The following is a 19,924-nucleotide window of genomic DNA, read 5'->3' as shown; positions in this document are numbered from 1 at the left end:
GTTAAAGACGTACCTGTGACACATCCTTAGAAGGTCCTGAGGACACATGCCCAAGGTGGTTAGGCTCCAGCTTGCTTTTATACATTTTATGGAGACATAATACATTATGGGGAAAACAAAGAGAGATCAGATTGTTACTGTGTCTATGGAGAAAAAGGAAGATATAAGAAACTCCATTTTGATCTGCACTAAGAAAAATTGTTCTGCTTTGAGATGCTGTTAATCTGTAACTCTTGTCCCAACCCTGTGCTCACAAAAACATGTGCTGTATTTTTCATGCGTGTCCGTGTGAAGAGACCACCAAACAGGCTTTGTGTGAGCAATAAAGCTTTTAATCACCTGGGTGCAGGCGGGCTGAGTCCGAAAAGAGAGTCAGTGAAGGGAGATAGGGGTGGGGCTGTTTTATAAGATTTGGGTAGGTAAAGGAAAATTACGGTCAAAGGGTGTTTGTTCTCTGGCGGGTAGGAGTGGGGGTCACGAGGTGCTCAGTAAGGAAGGTTTCTGAGCCAGGATGAGCCAGGAAAAGGACTTTCACAAGGTAATGTCATCACTTAAGGCAAGGACCGGCCATTTTCACTTCTTTTGTGGGGGAATGTCATCGGTTAAGGCAAGGACCGGCCATTTACACTTCTTTTGTGGTAGAATGTCATCAGTTAAGGCGGGGCAGGGCATTTTCACTTCTTTTGTGATTCTTCAGTTACTTTAGGCCATCTGGGCATATACGTGCAAGTCACAGGGGATGCGATGGCTTGGCTTGGGCTCAGAGGCCTGACAGTATTGACTGAGGTTTAAGGAATTCAGGGCTGTGCAGGATGTGCTTTGTTAAAAATGTGTTTGCAGGCAGTATGCTTTGTGAAAGTCATCGCCATTCTCCATTCTCTATTAACCAGAGACACAATGCACTGTGGAAGGCCGCAGGGACCCCTGCCCAAGAAAGCCTGGGTATTGTCCAGGTTTCTCCCCACTGAGACAGCCTAAGATATGGCCTCGTGGGAAGGGAAAGACCTTACAGCCCCTCAGCCCGACACCTGTAAAGGGTCAGTGCTGAGGAGGATTAGTGAAAGAGGAAGACTTCCATGCAGTTGAGATAAGAGGAAGGCATTTGTTTCCTGCATGTCTCTGGGAATGGAATGACTTGGTGTAAAACCGAGCGTACATTCTATTCTGAGATAGGAGAAAACCGCCTTATGGCTGGAGGTGAGACATCATGGTGGCAATACTGCTCTGTTACTTTTTACTGCACTGAAATGTTTATGTAAAGTTAAACATAAAACTAGCCTATGTGCACATCCAGGCACAACACCTTTCCTTATTTATGACACAGATTCCTTTGCTCAAATGTTTTTCTGCTGACCCTCTCCCCACCATCACCCTATAGTTACACCACATTCCCCTCACCAAGATAGTAAAGATAGTGATCAATAAATACTGAGGGAACTCAGAGACCAGCGCTGGTGCAGGTCCTAACTTGCTGAGCGCTGGTCCCCTGGGCCCACTTTTCGTCCTCTATACTTTGTCTCCGTGTCTTATTTCTTTTCTCAGTCTCTCGTCTCCACCTTGCGAGAAATACCCACAGGTGTGGAGGGGCAGGCCCCCTTCAATACATCCACCAATACATTAAGATTTACATTGGTTTGATCTGGAAGGGTGGGACAACTCAAAGAAGGAGGCTTCCAAGTCATAGGTACACTTAAACATATTCTGATTGGCAATTGGTTGAAAGAGTTTTTATCTATAGAAAAGAATGTCTGGGTGAAGACAAGGGGTTGCGGAGGTTTTATCATGCAGATGAAGCCTCCAAGTATCAGGCTTTAGAGAGAATAGACTGTAAATGTTTCTTAAGGTCTGTGATGATAGTAATGCTGGAAGGGTATAATGAAGCAAGTTCAACCCCCACCTGGCTTCAAGGCCTAAACCAGTCTTTTTTGGTTAAATTTTAGGGTGCCCTGGCTGAGGAGGGAATCCATTGGGATGGTTGCAGGGGTGCCTTTGAATTTTATTTTTGGTTTACAAAGCCAATACTATGACACCAGGTTTTTGAGAAAAGAAAAGCTTTTCATTGCAGGTTACTCAACAAGGAGACAGGAGTCCAGCTCAAATCTGTCTCCCTGTGCTGGCTTTAAGGCAGTACTTTTATTAGAAAAGGTTAAGGGGCTGATTCTGGGATTAGCAAGTAGTTGGTAGAAGGAAAGGGAACATCTGCGAAGTCCCTCAGGCGTGCACAGTTATCTCTCCATGCCTCCTCATGGATCCCATACACAAATTCAGGGGAAGTTAGTATGAAACAAGAGGAGTCAGTATGAAACATGTGGTAGAAATTTGGGTTGTGATATCAGCGAGTTCATTCTACATATATTCATTGGCCATATTAGTTTTAACCAATTTTAGCCAATTTCATTCTCTTAGAAGGGGAGGGAGTTTTATTTTAGCAAGTTGTTTCTTATCTGCCATCCTGCAAGCTCGAAGATTTCTGTTACTGCTTTCTTCAGCTCTTTGGGGCACAGTTTCAATGGGCAGAGAGTGTACCAGCTTTGGCCTTTTGTTTCTGGTTCCAGTGAACAGAAAGGCATCAAACCAAGGGACCACAGGAACTACGAGGTAAGCTACGAAAAGTACAGTTCTGCTCTTAAGCTCCTCCTACAAGATCCTGTCCAGAGACACAGGAGGAGGCAAAGATGCTGGTAAGCACTTTGTGCCATTCTGTGCTCCCTCCCACCAGCCCTCTTTCTGGCCAAGTTCTAGTCCCACCTGCTTTGTGCCTACTGGTAGTTCGTTTTCTGGTCTTTAGTGTCCTCATCGATAAAATAACGTAACATCTCTAATCATGTGCATTCACACAGTGAGGTAAATGATGTGAAAGGGCTTTGAACAATGTAGTAAGGAAAAGAGACTAGGATACTGACTTCCCATTTTCCCAATTCCTGCTTCAGAACTGCTCTCCTAGGCCCCAAGCCCCTGCCTCTGTTAGCCCCTTGATCAATCTTTGCCTATGGAGGGGCAAAACTACATGGTATCCCAAGAACAAGGACCAATAATTACAGATCCATTTATTTTCTTTGCTACTTCCCATGACCACTCTTAAACTGAGAAACTGGGACCATTTCCCTGATTGATGGGGCCTCCTCACTAGAATAAAAGGGAGCATGTATGTTTCATAATGGGCATTCCATCAAGAAATGTCCTAAGGAGATAAATGTATGTTTCATAATAGGCATTCTGTGATGGAATGTCCTGAGGAGATAAATGCTGGAGTCGGTCTCAGCACATCTCAGTTATTCATTCTGACTCGTTTGGACAAGTGAGTTACTACAGCACTCATTTGGAAAAATGACCAGAAAGCTACCTCCAATTTCTCGGCCTCAACCCTGGCCTCCATTTCTTTCTGTTCCTTCTGGCTCTCGTCTTCCAGCCCTTCTTCCTCCCCTTACTCCTCAAACTTCCTGCCCTCAGCCTCCTCTCCAGGACCGTCCAAGCTGTTCAGTTTTCCAGCGTACCTGTTTCCCCCAGCTGACTAATGTCGCCCCTTCCCAGCACCCTACCTCCCGGAACTCCCTGCCCAGCTCTTCCTCTGTTAATTCCAGAGCGTCCGTATGCCACCGCCCTGCTCGTCAGGCACCCCTTTCCAAGTGTCCTCCTATCTTTCCCCCTCGCCCTCCTCATAGACCCTCTTGCTAGTCCCCTGTACTCTAATCCCCACAACCTAGTACACCCCTGCATCTTATCCTAGAGAGATGGCTTCCCTCCTACTGGGGCAGTTCAGAATTTCCAGGACTGTGGACTCCCACAACCAGACCTGATGGCTCACAAATCTCACCCTGGAGAGATTGCTTTCCTCATACTGGGGCAGTTCAGAAGTGCCAGGACTGTGGATTCCCACAAGCAGACCTGACGGCTCACAAATCTTACCCTGGGGAGATGGTTTCCCTCATACTGGGGCAGTTCAGAATTGCCAGGACTGTGGATTCTCCCAAAGAGACTTGATGGCTCATGAATCTCACCCTGGAGAGATGGCTTCCCTCATACTGGGGCAGTTCAGAAGTGCCAGGACTGTGGACTCCTACAACCAGACCTGACGGCTCACAAATCTTACCCTGGGGAGATGGTTTCCCTCATACTGGGGCAGTTCAGAAGTGCCAGGACTGTGGACTCCCACAACCAGACCTGACGGCTCACAAATCTTACCCTGGGGAGATGGTTTCCCTCATACCGGGGCAGTTCAGAAGTGCCAGGATTGTGGACTCCCACAACCAGACCTGACGGCTCACAAATCTTACCCTGGAGAGATGGCTTCCCTCATACTGGGGCAGTTCAGAAGTGCCAGGACTGTGGATTCTCCCAACGAGACCTGATGGCTCATGAATCTCACCCTGGAGAGACGGCTTCCCTCATACTGGGGCAGTTCAGAAGTGCCAGGACTGTGGACTCCTACACCCAGACCTGACGGCTCACAAATCTTACCCTGGGGAGATGGTTTCCCTCATACTGGGGCAGTTCAGAAGTGCCAGGACTGTAGACTCCCACAACCAGACCTGACGGCTCACAAATCTTACCCTGGGGAGATGGTTTCCCTCATAATGGGGCAGTTCAGAAGTGCCAGGACTGTGGACTCCTACAACCAGACCTGACGGCTCACAAATCTTACCCTGGAGAGATGGCTTCCCTCATACTGGGGCAGTTCAGAAGTGCCAGGACTGTGGATTCTCCCAACGAGACCTGATGGCTCATGAATCTCACCCTGGAGAGATGGCTTCCCTCATACTGGGGCAGTTCAGAAGTGCCAGGACTGTGGACTCCCACAGCCAGACATGACGGCTCACAAATCTTACCCTGGGGAGATGGTTTCCCTCATACTGGGGCAGTTCAGAATTGCCAGGACTGTGCATTCTCTCAGCCAGACCTGACAGCTCACAAATCTCACCTTGGAGAGATGGCTTTCCTCCTACTGGGGCAGTTCAGAAGTGTCAGGACTGTGGACTCCCACAGCCAGACCTGACGGCTCACGTATCTCACCCTGGAGAGATGGGCTCGCTCCTACTGGGGCAGTTCAGAAGTGCCAGGACTGTGGACTCCCACCACCAGACCTGATGGCTCACCTATCTCACCCTAGAGAGATGGCTTCCCTCCTCCTGGGGCAGTTCAGAATTGCCAGGACTGTGGATTCCCAGAAGGCTGATTTAATGGACGTAGAAAATGTAAGATGGTAAACCAACATTCAGCCTCAGTAAGTTACAAGGACCCCTTTTCCATGATCAGATTCCTTGTTATCTTATTACTAACTGTATTTTGCCTTAATCCTCATTTTGTTAACCCTCTTCAGATTCTAGAGATTACCTTTTTCTAGACAGTCTTTTTTTCTTTTTGAGACAGTCTCACTCTGTTGCCCAGGCTGGAGTACAGTGGTGTGATCTTGGTTCACTGCAACCTCCACCTCTCAGTTCAAGTGATTCTCCCACTTCAGCCTCCCGAGTAGCTGGGATTACAGGCGCCCGCCACCACGCCTGGCTAATTTTTTGTATTTTTAGTAGAGATGGGGTTTCATTATGTTGGCCAAGCTGGTCTCAAACTCCTGACCTCAAGTGATCCGCCCGCCCGGCCAAGACAGTCTGTTCCTTTCCTCTCCTGTCTAGTCAGCTAGGATATACAAGCCTCTACCTTTGGAACTGGTTTCTCAATGGAACTTGGTCTGAAACCACAAAGCAAACTATAGGACTGATGACAGAGAAAGAGGAGAGTGAGGAGTAAAAAGCGTTAATCTGTTTTCAAGTAGGGTAAGTTGTGTTGATGTGCCCTAGGTTCAAGTCAATGCAAGAACAGGTGACCCCTGAGAACTCACACACAGGGTACAAGGCCCCTGCTATATAGATACAGGGTACAGAGTTTTGTTTTTTATTGTGTTTTTTTGGGTCTGGTTCCTCCCAGACTTCATTTTTCTTCATCCTAGAATTCCAGAATCTTGCCAGGGACTTTCTGCCCTTAAGGAAAGTCTCCTGCAAAAAGAGGGAGGGGGCCCTCCAGGGCTCTCATCAAAGCTGAGGGTTGAGCCTCCCTCTCAGTTAGCTGCTTCCACGCCAGAAAGGGAAAGGTAGCAGAGTCTGGAAGGCACAGCATGTCCAGATCCTACCCAGATGAGAGCATCTGATGAACAGATAATATAAAAAGAAGTGCTGTCCTCAAACTGATCCTTAGATTCAATACAATCTCAATCAAAACTCCAAAAGATATTTTTGCAGAACCTGGCAAGCTGATTATAATTTATATGGAAATGTAAAGGGTCAAGAGTAGCCAAGACTCTCCTAAGAAGAAATTCTTCTTTACCAGGTATCAAAACTTATTACAAAAATTATAATAAGATAGTGTAATACTGGTGCAAGCATAGAAAAATAGACAAATGTCACAGAATACAGGAACAAGACACACATATGTGGACACTTTAATACCAAAGTAGCATAACAGAACAGTGAAGATAGGACTGTCTTTATATTCAATAAAGTGGTCTTAAGGCAACTGGATGCCCAAATGAGTAAGTAATGATTTCTACCTCACAATTCATTCAAAAAATCATTTTCAGGTGGAACATAAGATATAATGTGAAAGGGTAAAAACAATAAATCTTCTAGAACTGCTCTGCCCATGTATGGATACTGAACATTCGAGATGTGCTATTAAGTAAAATTTGCATTTGATTTTAATTACTTAGTAGGAAAAAACAATGTGAAATATCTCAATTTTTATATTGAAACTTTGAAATACTAATTTGGAGTGAGTTAAAAAACACAATATTAAAATTAGTTTTATCTGATTATTTTGCTCTCTTAATGTGGATACTACAAATTTTAAATTATGTATGCAGCTCACTTAGTATTTTTATTAGACAACACTGATCTAGAAGGTAATACAGAAAAATATCTTCAGGACATCAAATTAGTAAAAATGTCTTAAATGGCATTTAAAAAGCACTAACCACAATGGGAAAGACTAATATAGTTGACCACATTTCAATTATGGTGTAAAAAAGACACCATTAAGATACTGAAAAGGCAAGCAACAGAGAGGGAAAAGAATTTGCAGCACATATAAGTCTTAAATGGCTTTTTTCAATAATATAAAAAGAACTTCAACAAATAAAGAAAAGACAATCCAATTGAAAAACAGGATAAGATTTGGAGCATGTGCGTCACAAAAAGAGGATAGCCCAATGACCAGCAGACCTATAAAAAAGTGTCCAGCCTCATAACAAATCAAAAAATGTGATGTAAAACAATAATGAGATGACACTACATACCCCACCAGAATTACTGTAATTAAAAGGATGGACAATGCCCAGTGTTGGCAAGGAGCATGAAGAACACCAGTGATAAAGTTAATTGGTTCCACTGTTTCGGAAAACAATTTGATATCTACTAAAAGCGAAGACAGGTATTCCCTATAATCCATCAATTCCACTCTTAAGTATATATCCAACAAAATGATTTGCACACGTGCACCAAGAGACATCTAAAAAATGCTCATGATGGCATTATTTGTAATGCCCATGATGAAACAACCGAATGCCTGTCAACAGTTGAATAAATAAATTGTGGTTTATCACCAAAGGGAACACTACACAGTTATGAGAAGAAATGAAACCACAGGAATATGCAACGGCATAGATGAATTCCACAAGCATAATGCTGAACAAAAGAAGCCGAACACAAAAGCACACATAATATATGATTATATTTCCATAAAGTGAAGAAACAGAGTAATCTATGGTGTTACAAGTGGAGAGGGTGGTTAGCGTTGAGGAAAAAGAAAAGTAGGAAAGGACACAAGAGTCGCTTCTGGGGTGCTGTCAATATTAATATTTCTAGACTTGTGAGGTAATTACACACAATTGTGATCAATCAGTGTGATCTATATATTGGGAAGGGAAGCACTTTTCTGTGTATGTATGATGTTTCACATTAAACATTTTCTTTTAAAGAATGTGCCTATCAAGAAGGCCTAACTTTGAAAAGTGAATTCTGACAAGTTGTGATTCTGGGTGGGAGGGACAAGGATATACATAAAAACCCCAGGAGCTTTCCCCTTCTACCTTCCCTTCCCATTTGCCAACTGTAGAGGACCATATAGCTTTACCCTATTATTTATTAATATTGTGAAAGGATATTTTCAAATATGAAACCAACCTGTGACAAACCCCATTTGGTTATGATGTATTATTCCTTTTATATATTACTGGATTTTTTTTGCAACTATCTAGTTAAGGATTTTTGCATCAATGTTCATGAGGGATATTGATCTTTGTTTTTTTCTTATAATAATTTGTCTGGCTTTGGTATTAATGTAATGCTGGCCTCATAAAATAAGTTGAGAAATGTTCCCTCCTCTTCTGTTTTCCGACAGAGTTTGTGAAGGATTGGTATTTTCTTCATTACAATAGTCCCCCTGACCTGCAGTTTCACTTTCTTTTTTTTTTTTTAAATAGAGACAGGGTCTATGTTGTCCAGGCTGGTCTCAAACTTGTGGCCTCAGGTAATCCTCCCGTTTGGCCTCCCGAAGTGCTGGGATTACAGGTGTGAGCCACTGCACCTTGCCCAGTTTCATTTTCAATGGCTCCAGTTAGTCATGGTCAACCACATTCTGAAAATTTTAAATGGAAAGTTTCAGTAATAAACAATTCATAAGTCTTAAATTGTGTGCCATTCTGAGGAGCATGATGAAATCTTACACTGTCCCTCTCCATTCCACTTGACTTGTGAATCATCCCATCAACCAGCTTATCCTCGCTGTACAGGCTACCCTCTCATTAGTCACTGAACAGCCATCTTAGTTATCGGATTGACTGCAGCAGTATCAAGATGCTTGTGTTTGAGTAATTCTTATTTTACTTAATAATGACCCCAAAGCCCAAGAGTAGTGATGTTGGCATACTGTTATAAATATTCTATTTTACTACTAGTTATTTTTGTTAATCTCTTATGACTGATTTCTAAATGTTTAAAAAAATTTGTTTAAAAAGTTTAAAATTTTTAAAATTAAAAAGTCGAAACATTTTAAATTAAAAATTAAAAAAATTTTTTTGTTAATCTCTTGTGCCTAGCTTATAAACTAAACTTTATCATATGTATGTACAGGAAAAAAATTAGAAAAATATACATCTTCATAGAATTACAATAATGAACTGCATGGTGACCCTCATGGATAGTTTTTAAAAATAGTTCATAACAAGCAGAGATTATGTTTAGGGCACACTTTACGGACTTAGAATCTTTGCTGTTGCTTACAAAGAGTGAAGAAAATGACTCTACTTAATAGAAATTTATGCTCTCAGTACATAAATATATATATGAGCATCCAAGAGAGGTCTGGGTTCCTATATTAAGTAGTGGCTTTTATTTCTCTAAGACACAATGTTTGCTTAGAACAGTATGTGGAAAATAGAATATAAAAAAACAGCAGAGCTATTGTTTGAGTTACTCTTTTTTTTCTAAATTACATACTTGTAAGTCTCAAAATTAAAGAACGCAAGTGGAGAACTGTCACTATATCTCCTACCTCTGTACTAGTATAAGCAATTTAAAGAAAGAAAATCATATTAATTAAATGGCAATTTTGAAAAGCCTCTTTCAAAAGTACTAAAGAATGTAGGGTTTTGTGATTTGCTACAAAGTAGAAGGGTTTCTTTCTTTCTTTTTTTTTTTTGAGACGGAGTTTTGCTCTTGTTGCCTAGGCTGGAGTATAGTGGCGTGATCTCAGCTCACTGCAACCTCCGCCTTCCGGTTTCAAGTGATTCTTGTGCCTCAGCCTCCCGAGTAGCTGGGATTACAGACACCTGCTACATGCCTGGCTAATTTTGGTATTTTTAGTAGAGATGGGGTTTCACCATGTTGGCCAGGCTGGTCTCAAACTCCTGACCTTGTGATCTGCCCGCCTTGGCCTCCCAAAGTGCTGGGATTACAGGCGTAAGCCACCACGCCCAGCCGAAGCGTTTATTTTCTAAAACTTTTAAATTAGATTTGATATATATTACGAAGTATAAAATAAAAAGATCAGGCCGGGTGCAGTGATTCACACCTGTAATCCCAGCACTTTGGGAAGCCAAGGTTGGCAGATCACTTGAGGTCAGGAGTTCGAGACCAGCCTGGCCAACATGGTGAAACCCTGTTCCTACTAAAAATACAAAAATTAGCGGGGCATGGTGGCATACTCTTGTAATCCCAGCTACATGGGAGGCTAAGGCAGGAGAATCGCTTGTACCCAGGAGGTGGAGGTTGCAGCGAGCTGAGATCATGCCACCGCACTCCAGCCTGGGTGACAGAGCGAGACTCCGTCTCAAAAAAATAAATAAAATAAAATAAAAAATCTTAGTGTACAGAGTTCATAGGTTTTGAGGATCCACACATTCATGGGCAAATACCTCATCAATGCACAGATTTTTCACCATCCCAGAAAGTTCCTCTATTCAGATTGCTATCATTAAATATTACTTCTGCCTGTCCTGGAATGTCCTGGGCATGTTTCTGAATGTAGCCTCTGATGACAGGTATTCAGCAAATGTTTGCTAATTTCATCTTAGAATCATAGAAGTGGAAATAATCTTAGCAGTCACCTACTTTAAAACTCTCATTTTATAGATGAAGAAACTGAAGTCCATAAACATTAGGCAACTTGCCCCAGCTTACACACCTAATGACAATTAGGTCCAAACTTACATCTTGATTCTCATATGGTAAAAGAGATAAGAGAGAATTTATCAGAGCTGTAAGTATAAAAAAAAGAAATATTGTATATAAAGATCCTCTGCTAGAGGATAAGACAACGATTTGTACAAAACATAAGGTGTAATGATAAAGACTGGTTTTCTGAATGAGATGATATAAATGGAACATTATCTCCAGGTTCCTGAAAATATATACAAAGATGTCATCAAAGCTATAAAAACCATTTTTCTTACAGGAAAAAAATTAGAACTTTCCCAACAAATGATCAAATCAATTGATTTATTAAATTAAATCAATGTATTTAATTGAAATGTTAATGAACTTTATCCTGGCAATCTTTTATACATCAATTCATGTTTAACATTTCAATTTTCTTCATTTCAATATTGAAATTTCATGAGGCAATAAAGATATTATAATTTCTGGGAGTGCATCACACCCACCAAAGGGAGCCTAACACATTCCTAATACCGTCAGTGAAGGCCACGGGGCAGACGTGGGTTTCATTAAGAATCTTGCAAAGGCCAGGTGCGGTGGCTTACGCCTGTAATCCCAGCACTTTGGGAGGCTGAGGCAGGCAGATCATCTGAGCTCAGGAGTTTGAGACCTGCCTGGCCAACAGGGTGAAACCCTGACTCTACTAAAAATACAAAACATAGCCGGGTGTGGTGGTGCACACCTGTAATCCCAGCTACTCGGGAGGCTGAGGCAGGAGAATTGCTTGTACCCCGGAGGTGGAGGATGCAGTGAACGAAGATCATTTTACTGCACTCCAGCCTGGGTGGCAGAGTGAGACTCCGTCTCGAAACAAAAAAAAAAAGAACCTTGTAGCCATGTGCACATATATGAACACTCAGCATACCCTGTGACAATGAGCACAGTGATGTGATGAAAGGCACAAGTGCAGAGTGCCATATTTCAAATCTAGTTTTTTTTTTTTTTTTCCCTTGAGACGGAGTCTTGCTCTGTCCCAGGCTGGAGTGCAATGGCAAGATCTCAGCTCACTGCAACCTCTGCCTCCCAGGTTCAAGCGATTCTCCTGCCTCAGCCTCCCGAGTAGCTGGGACTACAGGCACGTGCCACCAAGCCCGGCTAATTTGTGTGTGTGTGTGTGTGTGTGTGTGTGTGTGTATATATATATATCTCTCTATATCTATATCTATATATATAGATATATATATATATCTTTTAGTAGAGATGGGGGTTTCACCATGTTGGCCAGGCTGGGCTCGAACTCCGGGCCTCAAGTGATCCACCTGCCTCGGCCTCCCAAAGTGCTGGGATTTACAGTTGTGAGCCACCGCACCTGGCCCATATTTGAAATCTAAATGAACACCCAGAGTTTATTCAGAAGTCACACTTCTGACAACTTAATTACCTACAAAACTGCCAAGAACCAGAAACAAATGAAAAAAACATCTATCAGCAAAACCAGTTATTATAAAGCTCTTGACAGTATACCAAGAAGGCTTTAGGTTTCCTTTCAAAACCCATGACTGAGTCATTTTATTTCACACAACAGATTCAGTAGATGTGGTCTCCCAATCAATGGAAGAAAAGCATCAAATAAAGGGAAGCGGAAAACACCACCATCACTATGGATAGTATTGACATTGGGAAATAATTACTAACATATCTGTCACCTCTCTGTCTGGCCGGCTAGGGCCCAACAAAGTCAGAGCCACGTGCAAATCACTCTATGTTAAACGGAGAATGCCACAGTATGAGTGACATTTGCTCTGAAGAGAGTCACCCAGAGTAACTTAAATTGTGTTCAGTAAGTTCTGTTTCAAAATCCATTTTAATACAAACTTCACCAAAAAAATGGCTACAATGAAGTCTCTATACTTATGAGAAAAGGTGCAAAAAGCCACAAGGATGTTCTTTGCAGCGCTATTCAAAATAGTGAAAAATTAGAATGCCACCTAAGTATCTAAAAAGGAGATCAGTTAAATAAAAGTATTTCTACAAAATACTATTTAGCAATTTTAAAATATAATTCAATTATTTACTAATACAGAAAAATATTAATGGTATATTTCACATGAAAAAGGTAGGCCATGAAACATGATTATGGTTTGATACCTTTTCTTTCTTTTTTTTTTTTTTTTTGAGAAAGGGTTTTACTCTCTCACCCAGGCTGGAGTGCAGTGGTGCCATCTCGGCTCACTGCAGCTTCGACCTGCTGGGCTCAAGTGATACTCCTGCTTCACTTTTTTGTGACCAGTGCACTCACACCAGCCTCCCAAGTAGCTGGGACTACAGGCATGCACCTCCAAACCTGGCTAATTTTTTTACTTTTTGGCAAAGATGAGGTCTCCCTATGTTGCCCAGGCTGGTCTCGAACTCCTGGGCTCAAGCGATCTTCCCATCTTGGCCTCCCAAAGTGCTGGGATTACAGACATGAGCCACTGTGCCTGGCCAGTACATATTTTTTTTTTATCATAAATGTTATTTTCAAAAATACTGAAATATGATTTAAAAACTGCCAAAAATATCAGCTTAGATAATATCCTCTAAAAATATCCTAGGGAGAACCTGAGTTCTTAATCCATATAAAAAAGGAGCAGTCTTAAAATTAAGTAGGTAAGTAGGCTCTTCTCCCTATGTGTCTGCATCTTTCTGTTGTCCATCCCTAGTAGATTAGGGCCCTTCTGCAGTCTTCCCTTTAGCAAAAATCTACATTCAGCAAAGGATCTGAATCATATCAATGACATGAAGTAGATGATTACTCATGGTGTATAAGTATTTTACTAGGGATCAAAGGCTTAAGCCAAAGAAAGAAATTAGGCACATTCTTGCTAGCTGGGAGGACCCATAAGAGAACAAAGGAATCTTCCTGATATTTCAAAGTTCTAGTACACAAGTTGACACCCACTCCGCTTAGCCACAATGCCAAAGCCTGAATGAAAACTATTCCATTGTTCTGTCAATGCTGCAGCCCTGCTAAGTCAGAGATTTTCATAATTTCAGCATATACAAAAAGCATGGCCAAAATCAGGAAAAACCATCTACCAAAATATTAAAGTTGAAGAAATAAAAGTGCAGTGAAGGGCCAGAAAATGCAATCTTGTTTCAGAACAAAGTTTCTGTAAAACTAGCAGCTAAAAAGAATCTTAAAAGGTTATTCTTCCCTAACTGCTAACCCTTCAGTTTTCTTCTTTCTTGTTCCAAAGAACTACTTATTGCAACAAGAATCAAACAAACCCTCCCAAATGTTTCATTATTGTCACCACAGGATTTCATTAATAGCAGTTGCCAAAAAAGGCTTGTCAGTGAGTCATCTGTCACCAAAACCTGAATCACTCAGGGCTTGAGTATAGTTGTAGCACTCCAACATAAACAATCCCCCTAATATCAACCCATTTCTAAATTTGCAATGCAACATTCTGCTACCCCATGGAGACTTTCTTGTGACCAGTCCACTCACACCAACAGGAAAATCTGCCATTTTCTTCACTGCTGCTGGTTGCTTTACTCACTGGTGGAACTAGTGTTAAGATTAGTTCTAGCTCTTTTATACTTCTGCTTTTTAGACATATAGACCAACGGGACAGAACAGAGGTCTCACAAATAACACCACACATCTACAGCCATCTGCTCTTTGACAAACCTGACAAAATAAGCAATGGGGAAAAGATTCCCTATTTAATAACTGGTGCTGGGAAAACAGGCAAGCCATATGCAGAAAACTGAAACTAGACCCCTTCCTTACACCTTATACAAAAATTAACAGAGGATGGATTAAAGACTTAAACTAACACCTAAAACCATAAAAACCCCAGAAGAAAACCTAGGCAATACCATTCAGGATATAGGCATGGCAAAGACTTCGTAACTAAAACACCAAAAGCAATTGCAACAAAAGACAAAATTGACAAATGGGATCTAATTAAACTAAAGAGCTTAAATTAAAAAAAAACTAAAGAGCTCTAATTAAACCAAAGAAACTAGCATTAGAGTGAACAGGCAACCTATGGAATGAGAGAAAATTTTTGCAATCTACCCATCTGACAAAGGCCTAATATCCAGACTCTACAAGGAACTTAAACAAATTTATAAGAAAAAAAACAACCCCATCAAAAAGTGGGCGAAGGATATGAACAGACACTTCTCAAAAGATATCTGTGCAGCCAATAAACATATGAAAAAAAGCTCATCATCATTGGTCATTAGAGAAATGCAAATCAAAACCATGAGATACCATCTCATGCCAGTTAGAATGGTGATCATTAAAATGTCAGGAAACAACAGATGCTGGAGAGGATGTGAAATAGGAATGCTTTTACACTATTGATGGAAGTGTAAATTAGTTCAATCATTGTGGAAGACAGTGTGGTGATTCCTCAAGGATCTAGAACCAGAAATACCATTTGACCCAGCAACCCCACTACTGGGTATATACCCGAAGGATTATACATCATTCTACTATAAAGACACACACAGACACGTTTATTGCAGCACTATTCACAATAGCAAAGACTTGGAACCAACCCAAATGCCCATCAATGATAGACTGGATAAAGAAAATGTGGTACATACACACCATGGAATACTATGCAGCCATGAAAAAGAATGAGTTCATGTCCTTTGCAGAGATATGGATGAAGCTGGAAACCATCATTCTCAGCAAACTAACACAGGAACACAAAACCAAACACCACATGTTCTCACTCATAAGTGGGAGTTGAACAATGAGAACACATGGACACAGGGAGGGGAACATCACAGACTGGTGCCTGTTGGGGGATGGGAGGCAAGGGGAGGGAAAGCATTAGGACAAATACCTAATGCATATGGGGCTTAAAATCTAGATGACTGGTTGATGGATGCAGCAAACCACCATGGCACATGTATACCTATATAACAAACCCGAATGTTTCGCACATGTATCCCAGAACTTAAAGTATAATTAAAAAAAAAAATTGTTATTCTGCCTTTTTTGTATTAGAAATACAGTTTGGTAAATCCAGTTTACTTAAGACTTAAAACTGCTAGCTATGTATACAAAACAATAAACTATCAGAAAAGTGGCCAAAAATTAAGTAATTATTTCAACTTTTTATGACATCACTTTGGAAAATAACCTATTCCCTTTTAACTTGAGTAGTTAAAAAAGTTCTAACCTGTTTATGAAAAAAAAAAACAGAGTTAATGTGATATATATTTGATGCTACTTAGCAAAAAATTTTGGTAGTCCGACAAGTATAATTTATATATTGGAACAAACAAAACTCTGGAATACACAATCTATAACAAGCCAATTTACTACAGAGAAGGTATCCATAAATTATTTCATGCCAAAGGGTCTAATGTCAGATAAATTTTTGTTTTGTTTCGTTTTGAGACAGGGACTCATTGTCGCCCAGGCTGGAGTGCAGTAGGCAGATCTTCGCTCACTGTAACCTCCGCCTCCCAGATTCAAGCAAATCTCCTGCCTCAGCCTCCCAAGTAGCTGGGATCACAGGCATGTGCCACCACGCGCAGCTAATTTTGTATTTTTAGTAGAGGCGGGGTTTCACCGTGTTGTCCAGGCTGGTTTCGAACTCCTCACCTCAGGTGATCCACCCGCCTCGGCCTCCCAAAGTGTTAGGATTACAGGCATGAGCTACTGCACCCGGCCACACTTAGTATCCCTTGTTAAATGTTAAATTATCCCTTGTTAATTATTATCCCTTGTTAAATATTAAATTTTAAACAATTCAGTAAAAAGTTGAAATGAGTAAATATTTTGAAACAACTTTAAATGTTATGGTAGAACTCAAAAAAATCACTTAAAATGTTCTAAATGTTAAGTATATCAGTAAACTAGAAAAATGACATCTAGAAGCTAACACGCTATCTACAGAAGAATTTACTTCCACAAGTTACCCAAATAAAAGTGAAAAAAAAAAAAAGATCAAGTGATAAAGTTAATAGATGTTCATTTAAATTCAAATGAAGGAATTTTTCATTTAAAATACATCTGGCCTGATGCCTGTAATCCCAGTACTTTGGGAGGCCAAGGCGGGTGGATCACTTGAGGTCAGGAGTTCTAGACCAGCCTGACCAACATGGTGAAACCCCGTCTCTACCAAAAATATAAAAAATTAGCCAGGTACGGTGGTGCATGCCTGTAATCCCAGCTACTTGGGAGGCTGAGGCAGGAGAATCACTTGAACCCAGGAGGTGAAAGTTGCAGTGAGTGGAGATCGCGCCACTGCACTGAACTCCAGCCTGGGTGACAGAACAAGACTCCGTCTCAAAAAAAAAAAAAAAAAAAAAAAATCTGAGGACTTCAAAGGTGGAAAAAGTGCTAGAAACAAAATGAACTAACATTTTCCACAAGCCTAGTTTTGGGTCTTCAACACAGCAGTATTAGAAGATGGCTTTTACTTTGAGGTCCATGTCAAATGACAAAGTTATCATGCTTAACCAAGCGGACTGCTGAAAGGCATCACTTTTAAAACAAAGGTTTTACTTCAGTCACTTCTATTTAAAAGTTACAAATTACGACCAAGTATAGGAATCTTCCCTATGCACAATCTCAGCGCACATTTAGAACTAATGGTCATGACTGGGCGTGGTGGCTCACGCCTGTAATCCCAGCACTTTGGGAGGCCGAGGCGGGCGGATCACGAGGTAAGGAGATCGAGACCATCCTGGCTAACATTGTGAAACCCCGTCTCTACTAAAAATACAAAAAATTAGCCGGGCGCGGTGGCGGGCGCCTGTAGTCCCAGCTACTCGGGAGGCTGAGGCAGGAGAATGGTGTGAACCCAGGAGGCAGAGCTTGTAGTGAGCCGAGCTCCACTGCACTCCAGCCTGGGTGAGAGAGTGAGATTCCATCTGAAGAAAAAAAAAAAAAAAAAGAACTAATGGTCAACATGACCCACGGCAATTTTGAATACTTGGAAGAGCAGTCTAAGTACCCTCACACAAGTTAAAACCGTGTTAAGTCAGAGTCACAACTCAATGAGCCATGCACCTTTAATTTACACCTGGAAGTAAAATAGTTAAAGTGGAGAATTAGGTAGCTGATTAATCTATCCTGGGGCAAATCTTACATACTTTAATTAAAGCCTCTGAAAACACCTGATGTACAGGTTATAAAGAACAGATTCTAGACCAGTCATTCTAAGACTTATGCATGTAACACACACTTTCCAAAACTTTTTTTTTCGCTCTTGTTGCCCAGGCTGGAGTGCAATGGCGTGATCTCGGCTCACAGCAACCTCTGCCTCCCGGCTTCAAGCAATTCTCGTGCCTCAGCCTCCCAAGTAGCTGGGATCACAGGCATGTGCCACCACGCGCAGCTAATTTTGTATTTTTAGTAGAGGCGGGGTTTCACCGTGTTGTCCAGGCTGGTTTCGAACTCCTCACCTCAGGTGATCCACCCGCCTCGGCCTCCCAAAGTGCTGGGATTGAGACAGGGTCTTGCTCTCTCACCCAGGCTGGAGTGCAGTGGTGGGATCAAGGGTCACTGTAGCCTCAGCCTCCTGGGCTCAAGCGATGTTCCCACCTTAGCCTACCGAGTAGCTGGGACTACAAGTGCGCTATCACATGCAACTAATTTTTTAATTTTTTTGTGGAGACAGTGTTTCCCTTTGTTATCTAAGCTGGTCTCAAACTCCTGGGCTCAAGTGAGCCTTTCATATCAGTCTCTAAAAGTGCTGGCATTCCAGGTGTGAGGATATATTTCAAAATTACGCACAAACACGATTTTTTCACTCCCATCACTTTTCTCTTATTCCCTAGAGAACTTAATTTTTGCCAATAAGTCTTCTAAAATGTTACATTTCCTGTGGAATGCAAGAAACTAAATGCTTCATTAGCTAGTGGTGGCAATTACTATTTTTAATACTTCAAAAAAGCATTTCAATTTACTGTTCACTAGCACATTATGACATCATTCCCTTCCAGTGTTTGCTTGCTCATTAAATAATCCTGTTTCTATTTTGTTCTCTTGCCTTCAATACATAGATTGCAAATATTCCATTTCAGATGCTGCATTAATGATTCAGTGAGGCTGCTGAAAAACGCCTTTATATTTGAACGGTTTGGTAATACACTTTCTCTTATTGCGGTTGATATGGAGAGATTAATCTCTCACCAAAAGGCAAAATCTGGAGAAGATGAAATAGCAAAACTAAGGACCAATGGGAAGGGGGAGGCAAAGTCAATCGACAACCGTACCTAACAGGAGAGATTCCAAGGCTTCCATCAGATAAACAAAGGAAGCTGATTTTTCTACGGAGGCTGCATGTGCTGCAAGCTACCTGAAGCATTAGTATGCAAGCCCACTGAGCCTATTACCTTGAAAGCAGAGTCCAAGCACTGAATTTTTCTAGACTCCCATTATAGGTGGACACCCAGAAAGCCAGTGGAGACAATGATGGACGGGGAAGAGAGTGGGGCCGGTCTTCGATGCTTTCCTCCCACTCCACCAAAGCAGAAGTTAAAAACCTACAACCTACACGTATCAACCAGCTCCTCCGCTGCTCAACCATTTTTCAGGGGCAGAAGGAAGAGGTTGTGGGGGCTGGGCTTCATGTGGGGCGGGTGGGAGGAGCTGCAAAAGGAGTCAGGTTGAGAGGCGAAGGGTCGCAGGCGCTGTGGGGAGGACTGCACGACGCGAGCTGAGCACACAGAAGCAGGGCAGGGGGGCCCCGGAAGGGGCGAACGCCCGAACGGCTGGGGGCGGGGGCGGGCCCTTTCCTCACCTGGCAGCCCTTCTTGTGGTGAAATCCGACCACCACGATGTGCAGTACGGGCCCCCGGGGGACGCCATCCCCGCCTCTCCTGGCCTTCTCCATGGGCGGCCGCCGCGGGCCCGCACGACGACTTCGACCGCCAAGGGCAGCGGGTCTGACGACCCCACCGTGTGCGGAAAGCCGCGGACTTCGGGTGTCAGCGAGCACAGCACATGAGGGCCGCACAGGGAGATCGGTGGAGGCAAAGCAGCTCCCGCCGCCCCCAGGGCCACGGCCGCCCTTCCCTCATCCGCTTCCGCAGCTTCCGGGCTGTCACCTGACACGGCGGCCGCCGCCGGCGAGGCAGGGCTGGGCAAGGCCGGGAGGGCCCTGACGGGGCGGGGTCTGAGAGGCCGAGGTGGAGCCTGGGGGAGCGGGGTGGGTCTAGGAGAGGAGAGATCGACTCTGTGGGGCGGGGAGGAGCGGGGGGAGGAGCGGGGGGAGGGCGGGTCCGGGTGGGACTTGACGAGGAGCGGCGGGGTGGGGCTT

General features: G+C 42.6%; 1 protein-coding gene across 13 annotated transcripts in view, besides 6 other annotated features; it reads right to left on the bottom strand.

Moving 5' to 3' along the window:
• The window catches only part of AVL9 (AVL9 cell migration associated), a 93,238-nt gene extending 73,519 nt beyond the window's left edge, over positions 1-19,719 (bottom strand). For all 13 annotated transcript variants that reach the window (XM_005249668.3, XM_005249669.3, XM_011515227.3 and 10 more), the window contains exon 1: positions 19,406-19,719. In XM_005249668.3, the coding sequence (XP_005249725.1) occupies positions 19,406-19,498 (93 nt within the window). In that variant the 5' untranslated portion in view covers positions 19,499-19,719. The remainder of the gene's footprint in view (positions 1-19,405) is intronic.
• Positions 311-935: an enhancer, noted in NCBI's record as "OCT4-NANOG hESC enhancer chr7:32553885-32554509 (GRCh37/hg19 assembly coordinates)". NCBI's record gives its function as "activates a minimal SCP1, AML or CMV promoter by ChIP-STARR-seq in primed H9 embryonic stem cells {active_cell/tissue: H9 hESC(primed)}" and the evidence as "EXISTENCE:reporter gene assay evidence [ECO:0000049][PMID:30033119]".
• Positions 1,490-2,064: an enhancer, noted in NCBI's record as "OCT4-NANOG hESC enhancer chr7:32552756-32553330 (GRCh37/hg19 assembly coordinates)". NCBI's record gives its function as "activates a minimal SCP1, AML or CMV promoter by ChIP-STARR-seq in naive H9 embryonic stem cells {active_cell/tissue: H9 hESC(naive)}" and the evidence as "EXISTENCE:reporter gene assay evidence [ECO:0000049][PMID:30033119]".
• Positions 8,562-8,651: an enhancer, noted in NCBI's record as "active region_25827". NCBI's record gives its function as "activates an Ori minimal core promoter by ATAC-STARR-seq in GM12878 lymphoblastoid cells {active_cell/tissue: GM12878}" and the evidence as "EXISTENCE:reporter gene assay evidence [ECO:0000049][PMID:35858748]".
• Positions 18,325-19,123: an enhancer, noted in NCBI's record as "NANOG-H3K27ac-H3K4me1 hESC enhancer chr7:32535697-32536495 (GRCh37/hg19 assembly coordinates)". NCBI's record gives its function as "activates a minimal SCP1, AML or CMV promoter by ChIP-STARR-seq in primed H9 embryonic stem cells {active_cell/tissue: H9 hESC(primed)}" and the evidence as "EXISTENCE:reporter gene assay evidence [ECO:0000049][PMID:30033119]".
• Positions 19,124-19,922: an enhancer, noted in NCBI's record as "NANOG-H3K27ac-H3K4me1 hESC enhancer chr7:32534898-32535696 (GRCh37/hg19 assembly coordinates)". NCBI's record gives its function as "activates a minimal SCP1, AML or CMV promoter by ChIP-STARR-seq in primed H9 embryonic stem cells {active_cell/tissue: H9 hESC(primed)}" and the evidence as "EXISTENCE:reporter gene assay evidence [ECO:0000049][PMID:30033119]".
• Positions 19,256-19,905: a silencer, noted in NCBI's record as "silent region_18078". NCBI's record gives its function as "represses an Ori minimal core promoter by ATAC-STARR-seq in GM12878 lymphoblastoid cells {active_cell/tissue: GM12878}" and the evidence as "EXISTENCE:reporter gene assay evidence [ECO:0000049][PMID:35858748]".

This window comes from Homo sapiens, chromosome 7, assembly GCF_000001405.40.
Source record: "Homo sapiens chromosome 7, GRCh38.p14 Primary Assembly".
In the NCBI taxonomy this organism is placed as follows: Eukaryota; Metazoa; Chordata; class Mammalia; order Primates; family Hominidae; genus Homo; species Homo sapiens.
This window is presented reverse-complemented; position numbering and strand designations above follow the sequence as displayed.